Here is a 19,046-nt window from a genome sequence, read left to right as displayed (position 1 = left end):
AAATGCCATCCAATATGGTATGGATTTGTGTCCCTACCTAAATGTCATGTTGAATTGGAGGAGGGGCCTGGTAGAAGGTTACTGGATCATGGGGGGTGGATTTCCCCCTTGCTGTTCTCATGATAGTGAGATCTCATGAGATCTGATGGTTTAAATGTGTGTGGCAATTCCCCTCTTGATCTCTCTCTCCTGCCACCATGCGAAGGTCCTCGTTTCCCCTTCAACTTCCACCATGAATGTAAGTTTCTTGAAGCCTCCCAGTCATGCTTCACCTGCAGAACTGAGTAAATTGATCTTCTTTTCTTCATAAATTACCCAATCTCAGGTAGTTCCTTATAGCAGTGTAAAAATGAACTATACACCATCCCACTCCCTTCTAGCCTCCAGGTTTCTAATGAGAATATTGCTGCTAATATTATTGAAGATCCATTTTATATTATGAGTCACTTATTTTTTGTTTTCAAAATTCACTCTTTTGCTTTTCCTTCCAACAATTTTATTATAATATGTTTCCTTGTGGATCTCTTTGAGTTCTTCCTTCTTGGAGTTGAATGTACTTCTTAAAGGTATAGATTCATGTCTTTTATCAAATTCACAGTTTTCAGGCATTCTTTCTTTAAATATTCTTTCTGCCCCTTTATCTCTCTATATTTCTTCTTGGATTTCTATGATGTATATATTGGTATGCTAATGGTGTCATACAAGTTTCATTTTTCTTCATTTTTATGTCTCTCTACTCCTCAGATTAGATAACTTTAATTGACTTGTATTCAAGTTCACTGATTCTTTCTTCAGCCCACTCAAATCTGCCACTGGAACCTTCTAGTGAGTTTGCCACTTCTGTTATTGTATTGTTAAGCTCCAGATTTTGATTGGTTCTTTTTCACAATTTTAATCTCTTTATTGATATTCTCTATTTGTTCAGATATTATTCTCTTAGTTTTCTTTAACTCTTTGAGATACTTAATTTTTTCTAGTAAATCCAATGTCAGGGCTTCCTCGGTTTCTGATAATTTCTTCTTTGTGTCATAGTTTTTTATTTGTACGCTTTGCAATTTTTGCTGAAAACTGGACATTTTTTACATATAATGTAGTAACTATGGAAATCAGATTCTTCTCCCTCTTCAAGGTTTGTTTTTATTGTTTGCTGTGGACTATAACTTTGTTATTTAGTGAGAGTTCCAAATTATTTTTGTGAAGTCTCTTTTCGTTGTCAAGTGTGGTATCTGCAGTCTCTTTTTTTTTTTTCTTTTTTTTTTAGATGGAGTCTCACCTTGTCACCCAGGCTGGAGTGCAGTGGCACGATCTTGGCTCACTGCAACCTCCGCCTCCCAGATTCAAGCAATTATCCTGCCTCAGCCTCTCAAGTAGCTGGGACTACAGGCGCACATGGCCACGCCTGGCTAATTTTTTGTATTTTAGTAGAGACGGGGTTTCACCATGTTGCCCAGGCTGATCGTGAACTACTGAGCCCAGGCAATCTGCCCACCTCGGCTCCCCAAAGTGCTGGAATTATAGGCGTGAGCCACCGTGCCCATCCTTCTTTTTCTTTAGCTTATGCTCTGCTCATATTTTACAGAGGGATTGCGAGAGAGGGAGGGAGGGAGGAAGAAGAGAAGGAGAAGGAAGGGGAGGGAAGTAACCTTCCAATTCTTCACACATTGCCATTGTGGTAAAGCACTCCTTCAACTCAGCCATGTATGACTCTTAGACTGTCCGTCCTGCTTACACTGAGGCTTGGAATCAGGATCACCCAGAGATGCAAGCTTGAGGTCTTCTTGGGACTTTTCTAAGCATGAATTCTGCCTTGGGCATGCATGTCAGTTTCTAAATTCCCTGGTATACATGAGCCCTTCTGAATGCTCTGATTTCTCAAAGAGTATATTCCTAGTATTTCCTTTTAAGTTTTAGGCTTTCTATTGTTTGTCTCAGTTGTAATCTTTTTCCCCAGGTAGTTGTGGGTTGGGTGTTTGCCTTACAATGTTGTCAAGAAATGCCTTCCACTTTTCTGCCAGGAGTAATTTCCATAATTTGCTAAACAAAGGTAGTACATGTTGCCTCAGTCTTTCAGGCAGGCCTTAGAAAGGTTAGAACAGACTAAAACAATTCTTTAAAAGTAAGATCTTTTCTGCTTCCTTAGAAATAGGGAACCTGAGTTCCACAATGAGAATGTAAGCGGCAATCTTGAAGACAACCACCAAGGCGGGAAGGGGATAGGACAAGGGTAAGTAAAAAAGACCATGAAATATTTCTACTATTTTTAAATTATCTTTTTCTTGATTCAGTGTTCAGTTGGTTATTTTAGATCTTTTCCTATTTTCCTGAGTTCTGACAAAGTGGATTGTGGCAGTTTTTGCTTGTGCTTGGAGTTACCTACTTTACTATTTTAGCTGATATCATTCTTAGCACATAAGCTTTTGTACTTCATATTAATCTCTTTCTTATTTTTTCTCTCGGTTCTGGGAGGTTTATTCAAACTAGTAATGTGATTTTTGTTTTGCTTTTTTATTTAGCTTTCAATTTTCTTTTAATTGGGTTTTTTATTCAATAATTATGAATTTCGTCTTCAGGCAATATTTTCCACTCTTAGATTTCTCCCTTTTGCTAGATACAATAACATGTGAAATCCACATAAGACCACTAAATTAGATATTTGCAAAAGGCTTCCTTATGTTTTTGCCACATTGAAAACTGGTCTTAGTTTTTGAACAAGGTAGATTTTTCTTAATCCAAATTCATTCTTATCTTAGAAAAAAATGTCTCATAGATAGTAATATTTTTCTGTCAGTCTTTTATTCTTTTTAGTTTTAAAAACTGGTCTTTTGTCCTGGGTCTTTAAGGTTATCTTATTAGAAAAGTGGAAGATTTTGTAGAAAACCCACCATCAGAAGCTAATTATAATGAAAGTCTGTATTTCCTTAGCTATTTTAATGCTACACATTATACCTCTTGATTTGTCTGATTTTAGTCCAGGAATTTTGTGGTTTTTTTCTGTAAGATACTAGATACAGCTAATGCCAACCATTAGAATTAGCTTATATCTCTTTAATCAAGTAATTTAAGATAACTAAAGACAATGTGGGGAGATGGAAAGACACACACACACACACACACACACATACAGAAAGAGAGAGAGAGGGGGGAGACAGAGAGAGAGAATGTCTATATCTCTATTTGTCTATATCCACACCAACCTTTAGAATTTGCTTATATTCCTTTAATCAAGTAATTAAAGATAATTAAAGATGATGTGGGGAGAGAGAAAGACACACACACACAAACACACACACACAGAGACAGAGAGAGAGAGAAAGAGAGAGAGAGAGAGAGAGAGAGAGAGAGAGAGAGAATCTATTTCTATTTGCCTATATCTACACCGGGAAAAAAATCCTGAACTCTGAAGTGTGAAGAATCACTGAAAATTGGAGAGAAGAAGCACCTCTAAAAGTCACTGTAACTGCTTAGGTGAATGTGGGAACAGATAAATAGTTTCTAAATATACAAAAGGGAGAGAAAGTAGAGTCTACACAAATATAAATTTTTTTAACCAAAAGGTTTTTTGTCCATTGGACTGCCATCAAATAGAAAACATACCAATCCCTCCTTTTTAAAAAAATTAAATGTAGTGAAATCATTTAAAAGAAACTACACTGATAGGAGATTTGGTATATCTTTTTTCAAATGTTTCATAACATTTATTTGGAAACAGGCCATTTCTCATGAGATCTAACTATTATTTTTGCATGCTATTCAAAAATGCACCCAGAAACATACACACAAATACACACTCACATTTTTTTAAAAAAATATGTCAACCAGCATTTTACCCTTTCTGCATGTTCTCAATTATTGGAATATTTGAATGTCCCTATCAGTAAGTTTAGGAGATTAATGTAAAATCTTGGGGCTATGATGACATTGTTTTAATTGTTCCCTGTGACTTTTAGATTTGTGTCAAACGGCAAAAGATCAACTAAAATTCCAATTAAAACACTGTGTAATAAAATCCTGTATAAATGGCTGACTTCATTAAATTCCAGAATTAAATATGTGTTTCTTTTAAGAACAAGGCCTTTGGACTTCATGAAGAGAATTCTTTTTATTACTGAATAAACATGGTAATTTTAGGTACAAAACAGATTTAACTAATTCTAACCCTGAATTACAAAAAACACTGAAGAATCTCTCAACTTGCTCAGTGGTTATAACTAACATTCTCTAGAACAGCTCCAATTTTATGTCTCAGACCCATGGTTTCACTGCATATTATTATCACCTGGGGAGCTTTTATAATTCCTGATGCCCTGCTTGCTCCCCATGCCAATTAAATTAGAATGTGTAGAGATGAGATAAAAGCATTAGAAATATATTGCCAGGGAAATACAATACATAGCAAAGTTTGAGAATCATGGTGTTGATAGAGGCAGGAGGCAGACAAAGGCCTATGCAGATAGGGAAGGGTCCCCGGAGAATCTCCGACCCACCCCACAAGTGTTTATGCCAGATATTTTGTACAGATGAGGGAACCTGCACAGGGGGCTTGCCTGGGCATGCCCACAGCAGACAGAAGCCCACATGCACTGGGGAAATCGGGTGGAGCCACCAGGAATTCATGCCTTATGCAGGGGTATAGCCTGGCCTCTTCAGCTCATTGGTTGTGGCCCTGGTTTTCAATTTGGGAGATGAAAACCTGCTTGCAGGATGCTCTCTCTTTGGTGAGAGTTTTCTTTTCGCTTAATAAATTCTGCTCTCTTCACCCTTCAATGTGTCTGCATGCCTAATTCTTCCTGGTCATTAGACAAGAACCTAGATTAGTGGAGCTAAGGAGCAAAAAATCCTGCATCAGTGTAGTTTCACAAACAATAGTGTAGATAGAAATCATGACATGCTATGTTTAGCTTCATGGCTCCCTCCTCCACTTAATTTGATTCAGTAGGTCAGGAGTGGGCACTTTAGGTGATTTGGATGTGAGTGAGCCATGAACACATTAAAGAAATACAGGTCTAAGACAGTGCTATTCACTCAGTGGTCCTGAGAATTAGCAGCATCAGGATCAGCTGTGAGCTCGTTAGAAATGTAAATGCATTGGTCCTACCACCACCTACTGAAGGAGAATCCCTGAGCCTATGTTTTTGTCAAGCTCTCCAAGTGATTCTTCATGCACTTTATGCAATTTGAGAACCACTGTTTTAAAGCATACAAAGTGTGAAATATAGGCAGATAGTTTTTGATTGGGGCCCAATTCAACCCACTACTTCATATTTCTTCTATGTATAGTTTGGGGCCCAATTCACACACTACTTCATATTTCTTCTGTGTTTCAGATTGTCCACCATGACACTGAGATTATGCCATGTGTTCCAAGATCTCCTTGGAGGTAACAGATTTTGGAGAAAGAGGGTACCAGGGAAGAAGAGATGGTGAACAAAGGACAGGCCATTCACAGGAAAGAGCAACACGCTTGGATTTAGAAGTTCTAATTTCCTTTCCTTCTGTGTCGCTAACTGGATTAATTTGGGTAAATGATTTCACCACTTTTTTTCCAAATATGACAGGAAGTGTAAAAATAAGGCTACATGTGGAAGAACTTTTAAACTATAAATTTTCTATATAGGTATTGCATTTTATTATTATTGCTCAAAGCCAGAAGAGTATATACTTATAAAAGAAAATGCTAATATCAAATGAAGCTATTTTAGGACCATAGCTTAATAATACAGAAAGTGGCAAAGGCAATACTTCTACATTTACTGTAAGAAAAAAACTAGACAAATTGCAAATTAGTGACTTTTTTGGAATCTATTACAAAACTAAGGTTGCAAGTCAATCAATTAATCCTACATCTGGGAGAAAGACTGCCCCTAAGGAGAAAGAAGACAGGACAACCATCTTACCAGGGGGATAAATCCATATAATCAGTAGGATAATTCAACTAAAAAATTTAACAATCACTAAAAACCAACTATAAGCTAGCTTAAGAATGCAAAGTTAGCCAAGACAAAAAAGATCACATGAATAGTCCTAAAACCATTAAAGAAATTGAATTTGTAATTTTAAAACCTTCCCCCAAAAGTAATCTTGGGCCCGGAAGATTAGAATTCTACCAAATGTTTAAATAGCACCAGTTCTATAAATTGTTATTTTAAAATTTCAAAGAAAATAGAAGTAAAAGCTATGTTCGCACAAAAACCTACACATTAATTTTATATCAGTTTTATTCATAACAGCCCCAGACATCTTGGTAAGCAACCAAGATGCCCATCAGTGTATAAATGGTTAAAAAACTGTGGGATATCCACACTCTGGAATACTACTCAGAAATAAAAAGAAATGGATTATTAGTACAACAACATAGATGAATCTCAGTAATTACATTGTATGAAAAAAGCCAATCCCTAAAGATTACATACTGCATGATATCATTTACTTAACATTCTTGAAATTACAAAATAATAGAGATGGAGGACAGATGAGTGGTTGCTAAGGGTTACAGAGTGAGTAGGGGAGGGAGAAAAGTAGATTTGCCTATTAAAGGGCAACATAAGGTATCCTTGTGGTGATAGAAACGTTCTGTATCTTGACTGTCAATATCCCAAATGTCAATATCCTGGTTGTGATATTGTACTACAGTTTTGCAAAATATTACTTTTGAGGAAAACTGGGTAAAGAGTCCACAGAATCACTCTGTGTTGTTTCTTAAAACTGCATGTAAATCTACAATTAACTGAAAATTTAAGTCATTAAAAATTAAGGAAAACACTTCTAAAATCTGTGCAGCTTAGAAATAAGACAAGCAATTAAAATTCATATCAGTAAATAGGTCTCCCAAATCACTGAGAAGACAAACCTATAAAGAAATGTGCAAAGAATTATGATCCAATTAACTTGTGAAAAGATGCTTACCTTATTTAGTAATCAACAATGCAAATTTAAGAAAATGTATTTTATAGATTTATATACTGTGAACCCAAAGAAGAGAAAGAAATGGACATCTATATTTATTGTTAAAAGTATTACAAATCAGTACAACTTCTAGAATGGAAATTTGGCAGTATCTAAACAAAATTTTGAGTGTATAATATGTATACGAATAACTCAGAAATTCTAAACAACTGTACCATATGACCTCTATAAAGCCAGTATTATTGACTGCTCTTTCAGGCATTGTAGGGAGTGATAGGAAAAGAAAGTTAAAAGACAGTCTCTACACTTAAACCTTTGTGTATAATAAGTACTCAAAATTACACTAGATTGAGTTAGTTGGAGAAAAAGGAGCTTTTTGTGAAAATGCAGAATAATTTGTGTTGAGTATTATTTAGCTATACAAGCAGAGATAGAGAACAGGAGATGTGGAAGCAGGGGGATCATATTCTCATGTGCTCAGAAATGTCTCCAAATCTGAATTTCCTGTCCCACTAAAGAATGGAACATGAAGAAAATAAGGTATTAGAAGAAGTTATAACACTGATAAGCTTTGGCTCTGAGGACTGTTGACAATTCAGATAAAGCCAATGAGAAAAGCAGAACTTCATGTGAGAGACAGAACTGGCCTCAAAGCGATACAGCAAAATTCAACTTGTCTAAGCCAACACAGGTCTAGGCAACAGAAATCTTCAGACAGCCATCACTGAGGTGTGCTGTGGGACAGAGTTGGTGTAATCTTTGGAGCAGTTTCTAGTCATGAATACCATCGTGGAGACAGAGGATAAGCTTGTGTTTTATTATCAAGCCTTTGATGAGGATCAAAACTCTATCCAAATGAATTGAAATTCAGTTCCTTTCCCAGAAGAAAAAAACTTTTTTTAAAGACAGAAGCTCATGTGGAGAAATCAAGACAGGGGTTATGAGAAACTCATACCTTTATGGAAATGCAGATGTTAACGGTTACTTTCAGATACTCCCAAAACAAACTAAGAAACAAAAACAATTATTTATGATAAGACTAATTCTAAACCCCACTTTGGGCATTTAGACTAAATCTCTAGAATTAGTTTCAAAACCTGTTTCAGAAAGGTATTAGATGAAAGAATTTCTAAGTTTTCTTCCTGTTATGAATAATTGTTTATGTTTCTCTTGGATCCTATTTTTAACAAGAAAAGAGACTCCTGAGAAAATAATGCATAGAGAAATAATTTAGATAGGAAGGAATTATGAATAGAAAATAATAGTTTCAATCACCTATAGTGATTCCTCGTTGCTTTCAATTTTTGGAGGGAATGAGGGTGAGGGTTTATTTAGTTTTTGAACGTGTAATATTTTCTCAAGATTCAAAATTTAAAAATTATTAAAAACTGTAATAAGAGGCCTGACTCCATATTTTGGATGTATGACTGCTGACTTCTTTTAAGCCTCTCCCTCTTCTAATCCTTTGGTCTGACATCTATTAAATAGATAAGCTAAGAAATCCTGCACATTTCTCCTCCTTTGGTGGCTGCCGGAAATTCAAACCTCACAAAATTCCAGCTCATGAAAACTTCTATCCGCTATAAGGCCTGATCCACTCACTTTGCATCCCTCAAGCCAATCTATGTCTGTTTGTGCCACCTCACTCTCCCTGGAAGTCCCTTATGTGAGTAGCAAGCTTTTCAAACTTTGAGTGTTGAGAGAGGCTGTCTTCTTTTTGTGGAATATCTGAAACAGTGGTGCTATGAGCAGGATGTGTAGATGATATCCACCACTAGCAGGGGTCTTTCTTCTCTTGCTTTGGCTTGATGACTGGCTCTGCTGCCTGCCAGTGGAGCAATCCTTTTGATCAGCTGCTTGCTGGCTAGCAAGCTCTTTGAGCTGTGTTGCTGCCTTCAGGCAAGTTTGTGCCTTCAGCTGTGCTGCACAGTGCTGCATTTGCTGAGCTCTACCCAGTCTTTGTTATGAGTCATATGAAATTGAGGCCCCCTCTTATAGTGGCCTTGGCTTGTGTGTCTCAGCCTCAGCCTGGACCTATTGTGTGTCTCAATTTCAACATACACCGTGGCAGAACTTTATGCTGAGAAGAATGACTCTCATCCTGTGACTCTTGGTTGTGTCCTAACCGGGCACTGGCTTCCATTCTATAGAGTCATCAGGGGAAAGACTGATACCCTATAAAATATGTGGGTTCACTTTGAGCAGAAGAGGAGCTGTTACTAGGTGGCATGCCAAGATCCACACTCCTAAAAGCAGATGGCACAATAAAACCTTACAAAATGTCTTTACTGTTGATGTTACTGCATATGCCTCTGTCATCAAAACAGATATAGATCTCCAAGTTATAAGTAAAATTACCTACGGTATATTTGTGGCACAGTCAGGGAGCTAATTCAACCATTTTAATGGAGGAGGCCCCTAACACTGATGACAATGATGAGAGATTCTCTGGAGAAAAAAAAGAATCTTCTAAATATGAGCTGAGTAGAGACCTTGTCACCCCACAAAAGTATATACAAAAAACAGAGAGGAAGAGAGTGAGAGAGGAAGAAATAAATTTCTAGGTTTTTTTTTTTAATTCCAATCACTGGCTTGCAGACAGTATCTTTAGACCTGCCTTGGGGGAAGGACACAAACCTGACTAGTTTTATGACTTGCTGTTTATAGAGCCCTGGGGTCTTGAGTAAACAAAGGTGGTAGCCTGGTAGTGGTTACAGCTGGCCTTGGGCAAGATCCAGTGGTGTGCCAGCTTCAGGTTAAACCCAGAGTAGTCCCAGCTGTGGTGGCCAAATGGTTGCTTGCATCACCGCATGCCCAGTTCCATGTGGCTCAGCTCAGAGAAAGAGATGCTGTTTGGGAGAAAGTAAAGGGAAAGATCAAGAGTCTCTGCCTGATAATCCAGAGAATTTATCTGGATCCTATTGAAGACTACAAAGCAGTAACTCTACAAGTCTGCAAAAATAATCTTCTTGGGCTTGGGGCCCAAGTCCCCTTTAATACCTGGAAAACCTTTTCAAGAAGGACAGGCACAAAGAAGCCCAGACTATGAGGACTACAATAAATACCTGACTCTTCAAAGCCCAGAAACTGATGAACATCTACAAGCAGCAAAATCATCAGAAAAACATGACCTCAACAAATGAACTAAATAAGTCACCAGCTACCAATCCTGGGGAAACAGAAATACATGACCTTTCAGACAGAGAATTCAAAATAGTTGTATTAAGAAAACTCAAAAAATTCAAAATAAAACAGATAATAAATTCAAAACTGTATCAGATATTTTAACAAATATTACCATAATTAAAAACAAGTAGAAATTCTAGAGTTGAGAAATGCAATTGACATGCAGAAGAATGCATCAGTCTCTTAATAGCAGAACTGATCAAGCAGAAGCAAGAATCAGTGAGCTTAATAACAGGATATATGAAAATATGCCATCAGAGGAGACAAAAGAAAAAAGAATAAAAAATAATGCAGCATGCCTACAGGACCTAGAGAATAGCCTCAAAAGGGCAAATCTAAGCATTACTATCCTTAAAGAGAAGACAGAGAAAGAGATAGGGCTAGAAAGCTTATTCAAAGAAATGTTCACATATCGGGGAACTTGCCCCCGATAGTCACGTAGGTTCTTTACTATTTTCCCTAAGCGTCGGCCGGGTTGAGAAATAAAAGCACAGAGTACAAAAGAGAGAAATGTTAAAGCTGGGTGTCCGGGAGAGACATCACATGTCGGTAGGTTCCGTGATGCCCCCTGAGCCATAAAGCCAGCAAGTTTTTATTAGTGATTTTCAGAAGGGGAGGGAGTGTTCAAATAGGGTGTGGGTCACAGAGATCACATGCTTCACAAGGTAATAGAATATCACAAGGCAAATGGAGGCAGAGCAAGATCATAGGACCACAGGACCGGGGCGAAATTAAAATTGCAAATGAAGTTTCAGGCACCATTGTCATTGATAACATCTTATCAGGAGACAGGGTTTGAGAGCAACCAGTCTGACCAAAATTTATTAGCCGGAATTTCCTCATCCTAATAAGCCTGGGAGCACTATGGGAGACTGGGGTTTATTTCATCCCTACAGTCTCGACCACAGAAGACAGCCACACCCAAGGGGGCCATTTTAGAGGCCCACCCTCAGGGGCCCATTCTCTTTCTCAGGGATGTTCCTTGCAGAGAAAAGAAATTCAATGATATTTCTCCCATTTGCTTTCGAAAGAAGAGAAATATGGCTCTGTTCCTCCTGGCTCACTGGCAGTCAGAGTTTAAGGTTATCTCTCTTATTCCCTGAACATTGCTGTTATCCTGTTCTTTTTTCAAGGTGCCCAGATTTCATATTGTTCAAACACACATGCTCTACAAACAATTTGTGCAGTTAACGCAACCATCACAGGGTCCTGAAGTGACATACATCCTCCTCAGCTGACAGGATTAAGAGATTAAAGTAAAGACAGGCATAGGAAATCACAAGGGTATTGATTGGGGAAGTGATAAGTGTCCATGAAATCTTCACAATTTATCTTCAGAGATTGCAGTAAAGACAGGTGTAAGAAATTATAAAAGTATTAATTTGGGGAACTAAGAAATGTCCATGAAATCTTCACAATCCATGTTCTTCTGCCATGGCTTCAGCCAGTACCTCTGTTCCAGGTCCCTGACTTCCCACAACATTCACAGAACTTCTCAAACCTAAAGAAAGATATCAACATTCAAGTACAAGAAGTTTATAGAACACCAAGCAGATTAACCCAAATACTATCTCAAGGCATCTAGTAATCAAACTCCCAAAGGCTAACAATAAAGAATCCCAAAAGCAGCCAGAGAAAAGAAATAAATAACATACAATGAAGCTCCAATATGTTTGGCAGCAGACTTTTCAGTGGAAAACTTAGAGGCCAGGACATGACATATTTAAATTACCTACAGATAAAAAACTTTTACCCTAGAATATTATATCTGACCAAAACATCCTTCAAGCGTGGAAGAGAAATAAACACCTTTGGAGACAAACAAAAGCTAAGGGATTTCATTAACATCAGACCTGTCCTACAAGAAATGCTAAAGGGAGTACCTCCATCTGAAAGAAAATAATTTTAATGAGCAGAAAGAAGTCATCTCATGGTACAAAACTCAGTGGTAATAGTAAGCACACAGAAAAACAAAGAATATTATAACACTGTAATTATGTTGTATAAACTATTCTTAATTAGAAACACTAAATAATGAACCAATCAAAAACAATAACTGAAAAATTTTCAAGACATAGTACAATAAGAAATAAAGAGAAACAACAAAAAGTTAAAAAGTGGGAGGATGAACTTAAAGTGTAGCATTTTTATGAGTTTATTTTTGCATGTTTGTTTATGCAGTCAGTGTTAAGTTGTCATCTGTTTAAAGTAGTGGGTTGTAGAAAACTATTTGCAAACCTCATAGTAACCTCAAATAAAAAAATACAATGGATACAAAAAAATTAAAAGCAAGAAATTAAAACATACCACCAGAGAAGATTACCTTTACTAAAAGGAAGACAGAAAGGAAGGAAAGAAAGAAGAGAAGACCTCAAAACAGCTAGAAAACAGATAACAAAATGGCAGGAATAAGTCCTTACTTATCAATGATAAAATTGAATGTAAATTAGATGAAAACTCTACAATCAAAAGACAAACAGAATCTGGATGGATAACAAGACTCAGTGGTCTGTTGCCTATAAGCAACACACTTCATCTATAAAAATACATGCAGACTGAAAATAAAAGGATGGAAAAAAATATTTCCTGCAAATGGAAACTAGAAAAGAAAAGGAGTAGCTTGACTTACATCAGACAAAATAGATTTCAAGACAAATCTATAAAAAGAGACAAAGAAGGTTATCATGTAATGATAAAAGAGTCAATCCAGCAACAGGATATAATGATTGTAAATATATATGCACCCAATACTGAAGCACCTAAACATATAAAGCCAATATTATCAGAGCTAAAGAAAGAGATAGGATCCAATATAATAATAGCTGGAGATGTCAACACACTACTTTCAGCACTGGAAATATCTCCCAGAGTGAAGATCTCCCATAATTTGCATTATGGACCAAATGGACATAATAGATATATATAGAACAGTTCATCCAAACAGTACAGAATACAAATTTTTCTTCTCAGCACATGGATCATTCTTAAGGATAGACCCTATATTGGTTCCCAAAAACAAGTTTTTAAACATTCAAAAAAATTGAAATAATATCAAGCATCTTCTCTGACCACAATAGAATAAACCTATAAGTCAACAAAAATAAAAATTGTGAAAACTATACAAATACACAGAAATTAAACAATATGCTCCTAAATAATAAGTCCATCAATGAAGAAAGTAAGAAGGAGATTGAATAATTTCTTGAAACAAATTATAATGGAAAGACAACATAGTAAAACCTATGAAATACAGCAAAAGCAGTACTAAGAGGGAAGTTTATAGCTATAAGTGCCTACATCAAAAAAGAAGAAAAAATTAAAATAAACCAATGATGTATCTTACAAAATTAAAAAAGCAAGAACAAACTGAACCCCAAATTAGTAGAAGAAAACAAATAATAAAGGTTGGAGCAGAAATAAGTGAATTTGTTTTGTTTCGTTTTGCTTTTTGAGACAGAGTCTTGCTCTGTCACCTAGGCTGGAGTGCAGTGGCATAATCTTGGCTCACTGAACCTCCACCTCCCCAGTTCAAGCAATTCTTCTTCCTCAGCCTCCCGAGTAGCTGGGGTTACAGTTTCCTGCCACCATGCCTGGCTGATTTTCGTATTTTTAGAAGAGATGGGGTTTCACCATGTTGGCCAGGCTGGTCTTGAACTCCTGACCTCAGGTGATCAACCCACCTTGGCCTCCCAAAGTGCTGGGATTACAGGCATGAGCCTCCACGCCTGGGCAGAAGTTAGTGAATTTGAAATGAGGAAAACAATAGTAAAGATCAATTGAAAAGCTGGTTTTCTGAAACAATAAAAAAAATCGACCAAACTTTAACAAGACTAACAAAGAAAAAAAAGGAGAATAATCTAAGTAAAATAGGAGATGAAAAAGGAGACATTACAACTGATACTACAGAAATTCAAAGGATCATCAGTGGCTACTATGAGCAACTATATGCCAATAAATTGGAAAATATAGCTGAAATGGACACATTCCTAGACAAATGCCATCTATCAATATTTAACCATGAAGAAATCCAAAACCTAGACAAGACAAATAATAAGTAACAAGAAAGAAGCTGTAATTCAAACTCTCCCAGTAAAGAAAAGCCTGGGGCCTGATGGCTTCACTGCTGAATCCCACCAAATATTTAAAGAAGAATGAATACCAATCCTATTCAACGTATTCTGAAACACAGAGAAGGAGGAAACACCTCCACATTCATTCTATGAGGCCAGTATTATATTACTGTGATACCAAAACCAGACAAAGACACATCAATAAAAGAAAACTACAAGCCAGTATCTCTGATGAATATTGGTGTGAAAATCTTTCACAAACTGCTAGCAAACCAAATTCAACAATACATTAGAAAGATCATTCATCATACCAAGTGGAATTTATCACTGGGATGCAAGGATAGTTCAACATATGTAAATCAACAAATGTGATACATCATATGAACACAATGAAGGACAAAAACCACATGATCATTTCAATTGATGCTGAAAAAGCATCTGATAAAATTCAACATTCATTCATGATAAAAGGCCCAGGAAAAACTGGGTATGCAAGAAACATACATCGACATACTAAAAGCCATATATGATAGACCCATAGCTAGTATCACGCTGAATGAGGAAAAACTAAAAACCTGTCCTGTAAGATCTGGAACATGACAAGCATGTCCACTTTCAACACTGTTATTCAACATGGTTCTGGAAGTCCTGCACAGAGCAATTAGACAAGAGAAAGAAATAAAATTTACCCAAATTGGAAAGGAAGAAGTCAAATTGTTCTTGTTTGCATATAATATGATCTTATATTTAGAAAAACCTAAAGATTACACCAAAAAACTATTAGCATATATAAACAAACTCAGTACAGTTGCACAACCTACAAATAGTAACATTTCTATATGCTAACAGTGAATAATATGAAAAAGGAATCAAGAAAGTAATCCCATTTATAGTAGCCACAAATAAAAATTAAATATGTAAGAATTAACTTAACCAAAGAAGTGAAAGATCTCTACAATGAAAACTATGGTACAGTGATGAAAAAAATTAAAGACACCAAAAAATGGAAAGATATTTTATGTTTATGGATTGAAAAAAATTAATATTGTTAAAATTTTCACACTCCCCAAAGCAATCTACAGATTCAATGCAATCTCTATCAAAATACCAGTGATATTCTTCACAGAAATATAAAAAAAAATCCCAAAATTTATATGGAATCACAAAAGACTCAGAATAGCTGAAGCCATTCTAAGCAAAAAGAGCTATAGTAACCAAACAGCACATTACTGGCATAAAAACATATTCATAGACCAGTCGAATAGAATAGAGAACCCAGAAACAAATGCACACACCTATAGTGGGCTCATTTTTGACCATAGTGTCAAGAACATACACTGGGAGAAAGATAGTTTTCAATGAATGGTACTGGGAAAACTGGACATCCATTTGCAGAAGAATGACACTAGACCCGTATCTCTCACCCAAAGTCATTATAAAAATTTAAATCAAAATGGATTAAAGACGTAAATCTAAGGCCTCAAACTATGCAGTTACTGAAAGAAAATATTGGGGAAACTCCTAGACATGGTCTTGTCAAAATTTTCTTGAGTCATATCCCCACAGGCAACCAAAGCAAACATAAGACAGATGGGATCATATCAAGTTAAAAAGCTTCTGCACAGCAAAAGAAATAATCAACAAAGTGAAAAGACAACCCACAGAATTGTAGAAAATATTTGCAAACTACCCATCAGACAAGAGATTAATAACCAGAATGTACAGGGAGCTCAAACAACTTTATAAGGAAAAAACCCTAATAATTTGATTAAAAAAATGGTCAAAAGATATGAATAGGCATTTCTCAAAAGAAGACATAAAAATGGCAAGCAAGCCTATGAAAAGGTGCTCAACATCATTGATCATCAGAGAAACACAAATCAAAACTACAATGAGATATCATGTCACCCCAGTTAAAATAGCTTTTATATAAAAGTCAAGCAATAACAAATGGGGGCAAAGATGTGAATAAAAGGGAACCTTTGTACATTGTTGGTGGAAATGTAAATTAGTATATCCGCTATGAAGAACAGCTTGGAAGTTCTTCAAAAAACTAAAAATAGAGCTACCATATGATCCAGGAAGTCCACTGCTGGATATATACCCCAAAGAAAGGAAATCAGTATATCAAAGAGATATACGTACTCCCATGCTTATTGCAGCACTGTTTACAATAGCCACGAGTTGGAAGCAACCTAAGTGTCTAGCAACAGATGATTTGATAAAGAAAGAAAATGTGGTATATATACACAATGGAGTACTATTCAGCCATAAAAAAAGAATGAGATCTTATTATTTACAGCAACATGGATAGAACTGGAGGTCACTATGTTAAGTGAAATAAACCAGGCATAGAAAGGCAAACACTGCATGTTCTCACTTATTTGTGGGGTCTAAAATTCAAAACAATTGAATTCACAGAGATAGGGAGTAGAGATATGGTTTCCAGAGGCTGGGAAGAATAGTGTGGAGTATGTAGAAGGTGAGGATGGTTAATGGGCACAAAAAATAGTTATAATGAATGAATAAGGCCTATTATTTGATTACACAACAAGGTGGCTATAGTAAAAATAATTTAATAGAACATTTAAAAACAACTAAAAGAGTATAAATGAATTGTTTATAACCCAAAAGATAAATGGTTAAGGGGATGGATACCCAATTTCCATGATGTGATTATTAGGCATCATATGCCTATATTAAAGTATCTCATGTAGCTCATAAATATATACACCTACTTTGTACCTACAAAAATTAAAAATTAAAAAAATATAGTGGCTTAAATTGTGGTTACATCTGGGGATGCACTAATGTAAACAAGATACCCCCTATAATCTTAGAGGAGTTGCTGAATATAAAACAGAAGAAAAATGATTACACCTCACCTTAACTATCAGAGCTATCACCTTGCCTAAATTGCCTATGATCATCAAACCTATTGCCCTAAAATATTCCTAAATTTCCTGGAGATAGGCTTCTAGAGGCTGGGAGATTGTGACCCTTCCTGATGACTAACTGATAGTCCCAACACAATTTCATGAATTTTCTTTCATTTCACCATTGATTTGTGTTGTTTTCTTGAATAAGTACTAAATTGCCATACGTCTGGATCTATATTGAACTCTATTTTTTCTATTGATATTTATCCGTTCATGACTAATACCACCCAGTGTTAACTACTGAAGCTTTATTGCATACATATTACCTTAATAGGGGTAATACTTAATAGGGGTTGCTCCCATTCTTATTTCTGACTCACAATTGATCCTGGGAACTTGTAAATTTCCTCGATCAAAATAGCTTCCCCCTATAGTTAGAACTACTTCTCTACCTTCTACCTATCAACCCTGCATTGAATCTCTGGAGTGAATCCTGACCTTCAGCCCATGTTTCTTCAAACTTTACTGCATATTAGACTCTTCTGGGCAGCTTTAAGAACTCCAATGCCTATGCCTTATCCCATGCCAATTACATCGGAATACCTGGAAGTAGAAGCCAAGCATTAGAATTTTTTAAAGAATTCATATTCCAATATACACCAAACTTTGGCAACCACTACGTTTAGATTCAAACAACCCAGATGCCCAGATAATTGCTCACTATGTCAACTGTGATGTAAAAAGCTTGTTTGTTAGTTTAGGAGCCCTTGATTTTGTGAAAAAGATTCTCTGTGACACATTTTTCTTTCTGTCTTTCTCTCTCTCCCTCCCTTCCTCCTTCCATCCATCTCTCACCTTGCTCTTATCAATTCTCTGCCAAAGCTGAGAGTCCCACCATCATACATGCTTGACAGTGATCTCTATCTTCTTAGATGCCAGTTGTGCCATCTTACTGGTATTGCTCTTAGACAAACAAGTAAACTACTTATAATTGAATGTTTCTACTAACATCATCATTCATATGTGGGTATATCTCATCTTGATTTCCAAATGTTTCCAGTCTGGCATGACTCAGAGGACACCAAGACCTTAGCCTCAACCTATCCCTGCAGAATTAAATGGGGAAAACTATTGTGATTTAGGTTGTGTAAAGCTTTTATATTATGCCACATAAAAAGAACATTCAAACGAAAAATGCATATCTGAGAAAGAAAATAATACTTTAAGAATCTAAAAAGAATGTCAGAACAAATTCTTTGGAGGTTTCTTTATTTCTTAAGGTCCTTAATGACAGTTAAAATATTTATATTTCCCAATAAAGTTTCATGGTTTTGTTTATAATTGCATTTTTCCACAGTCAGATCTTGGCTGAGCTTCAAAGTTTACTAATTTGTGTTTGGTGTCTTAATTACTAGTGCACTTTGCTGACACTCTACAGAACAGTTCTGACTCTCCACATTTGGTCAGCTTCCCTCAAAAGGTAAATATGTCAAGTAAAAATGAAAGAAAAGAAGCCCAAATATAGACATTTTTAACTGAAGCCAAGTAATTGCAACAGCTGTTTATTTTTTATTTGCTTGTTTTTAATTAGAACAAGGAAATAAAATTCAATTTCTTTAAAGTTAGTCTTAATTGCACTTCCTCAAATTTATTCTCCCTGATTTTTATCTTCATGCAATTAAGTAGTTTTGTGATAATTCACAGTGGTATTGTTGGCTTTTATCTGTTGTCTACAGTTTAATTTTATACACTTCTTTTACATTAAGGGATTTGAATTTTGTTTTATGGGTATTTATTAATTTTTTGTTCTTTTTACTGGTTGAAAATATTCCCACATTCATTATTTAGGGAAAAACATGGCAATACCAAATCAAAGAAGATGTAGCTCTTCCTATGGCCATGTATCACTTCTCCCTTCCCCCATGTTTCTGTTCATACAATAAGGTTGTGTGAACAGCAGCCAGCATCAACTGGTGCTACTGAGTCACCTCTGGCAGCAGGATCATGG

General features: G+C 36.1%; 1 long non-coding RNA gene across 2 annotated transcripts in view, besides 1 other annotated feature; it reads left to right on the top strand.

The window, feature by feature from the left end:
- Positions 1–18,518, top strand: part of LOC105374827 (uncharacterized) — a 42,559-nt gene extending 24,041 nt beyond the window's left edge. Inside the window, exons 1-3 of one of the 2 annotated variants that reach the window (XR_940291.2) lie at positions 2,141–2,224; positions 5,325–5,518; positions 18,454–18,518. This is a non-coding gene — a long non-coding RNA (uncharacterized LOC105374827). Of the gene's footprint in view, positions 1–2,140; positions 2,225–5,324; positions 5,519–18,453 lie in introns of those variants that run through there. The other variant, XR_940292.2, reaches the window with a different exon arrangement.
- Positions 10,542–11,043: an enhancer, noted in NCBI's record as "OCT4-NANOG hESC enhancer chr2:81147049-81147550 (GRCh37/hg19 assembly coordinates)". NCBI's record gives its function as "activates a minimal SCP1, AML or CMV promoter by ChIP-STARR-seq in naive H9 embryonic stem cells {active_cell/tissue: H9 hESC(naive)}" and the evidence as "EXISTENCE:reporter gene assay evidence [ECO:0000049][PMID:30033119]".
- Positions 18,519–19,046: the final 528 nt, after the last annotated feature.

Source organism: Homo sapiens, chromosome 2, assembly GCF_000001405.40.
Source record: "Homo sapiens chromosome 2, GRCh38.p14 Primary Assembly".
NCBI lineage: Eukaryota > Metazoa > Chordata > Mammalia > Primates > Hominidae > Homo > Homo sapiens.
Note: the sequence above shows the minus strand (reverse complement) of the source record. Positions and strands in the feature narration are given on the sequence as shown.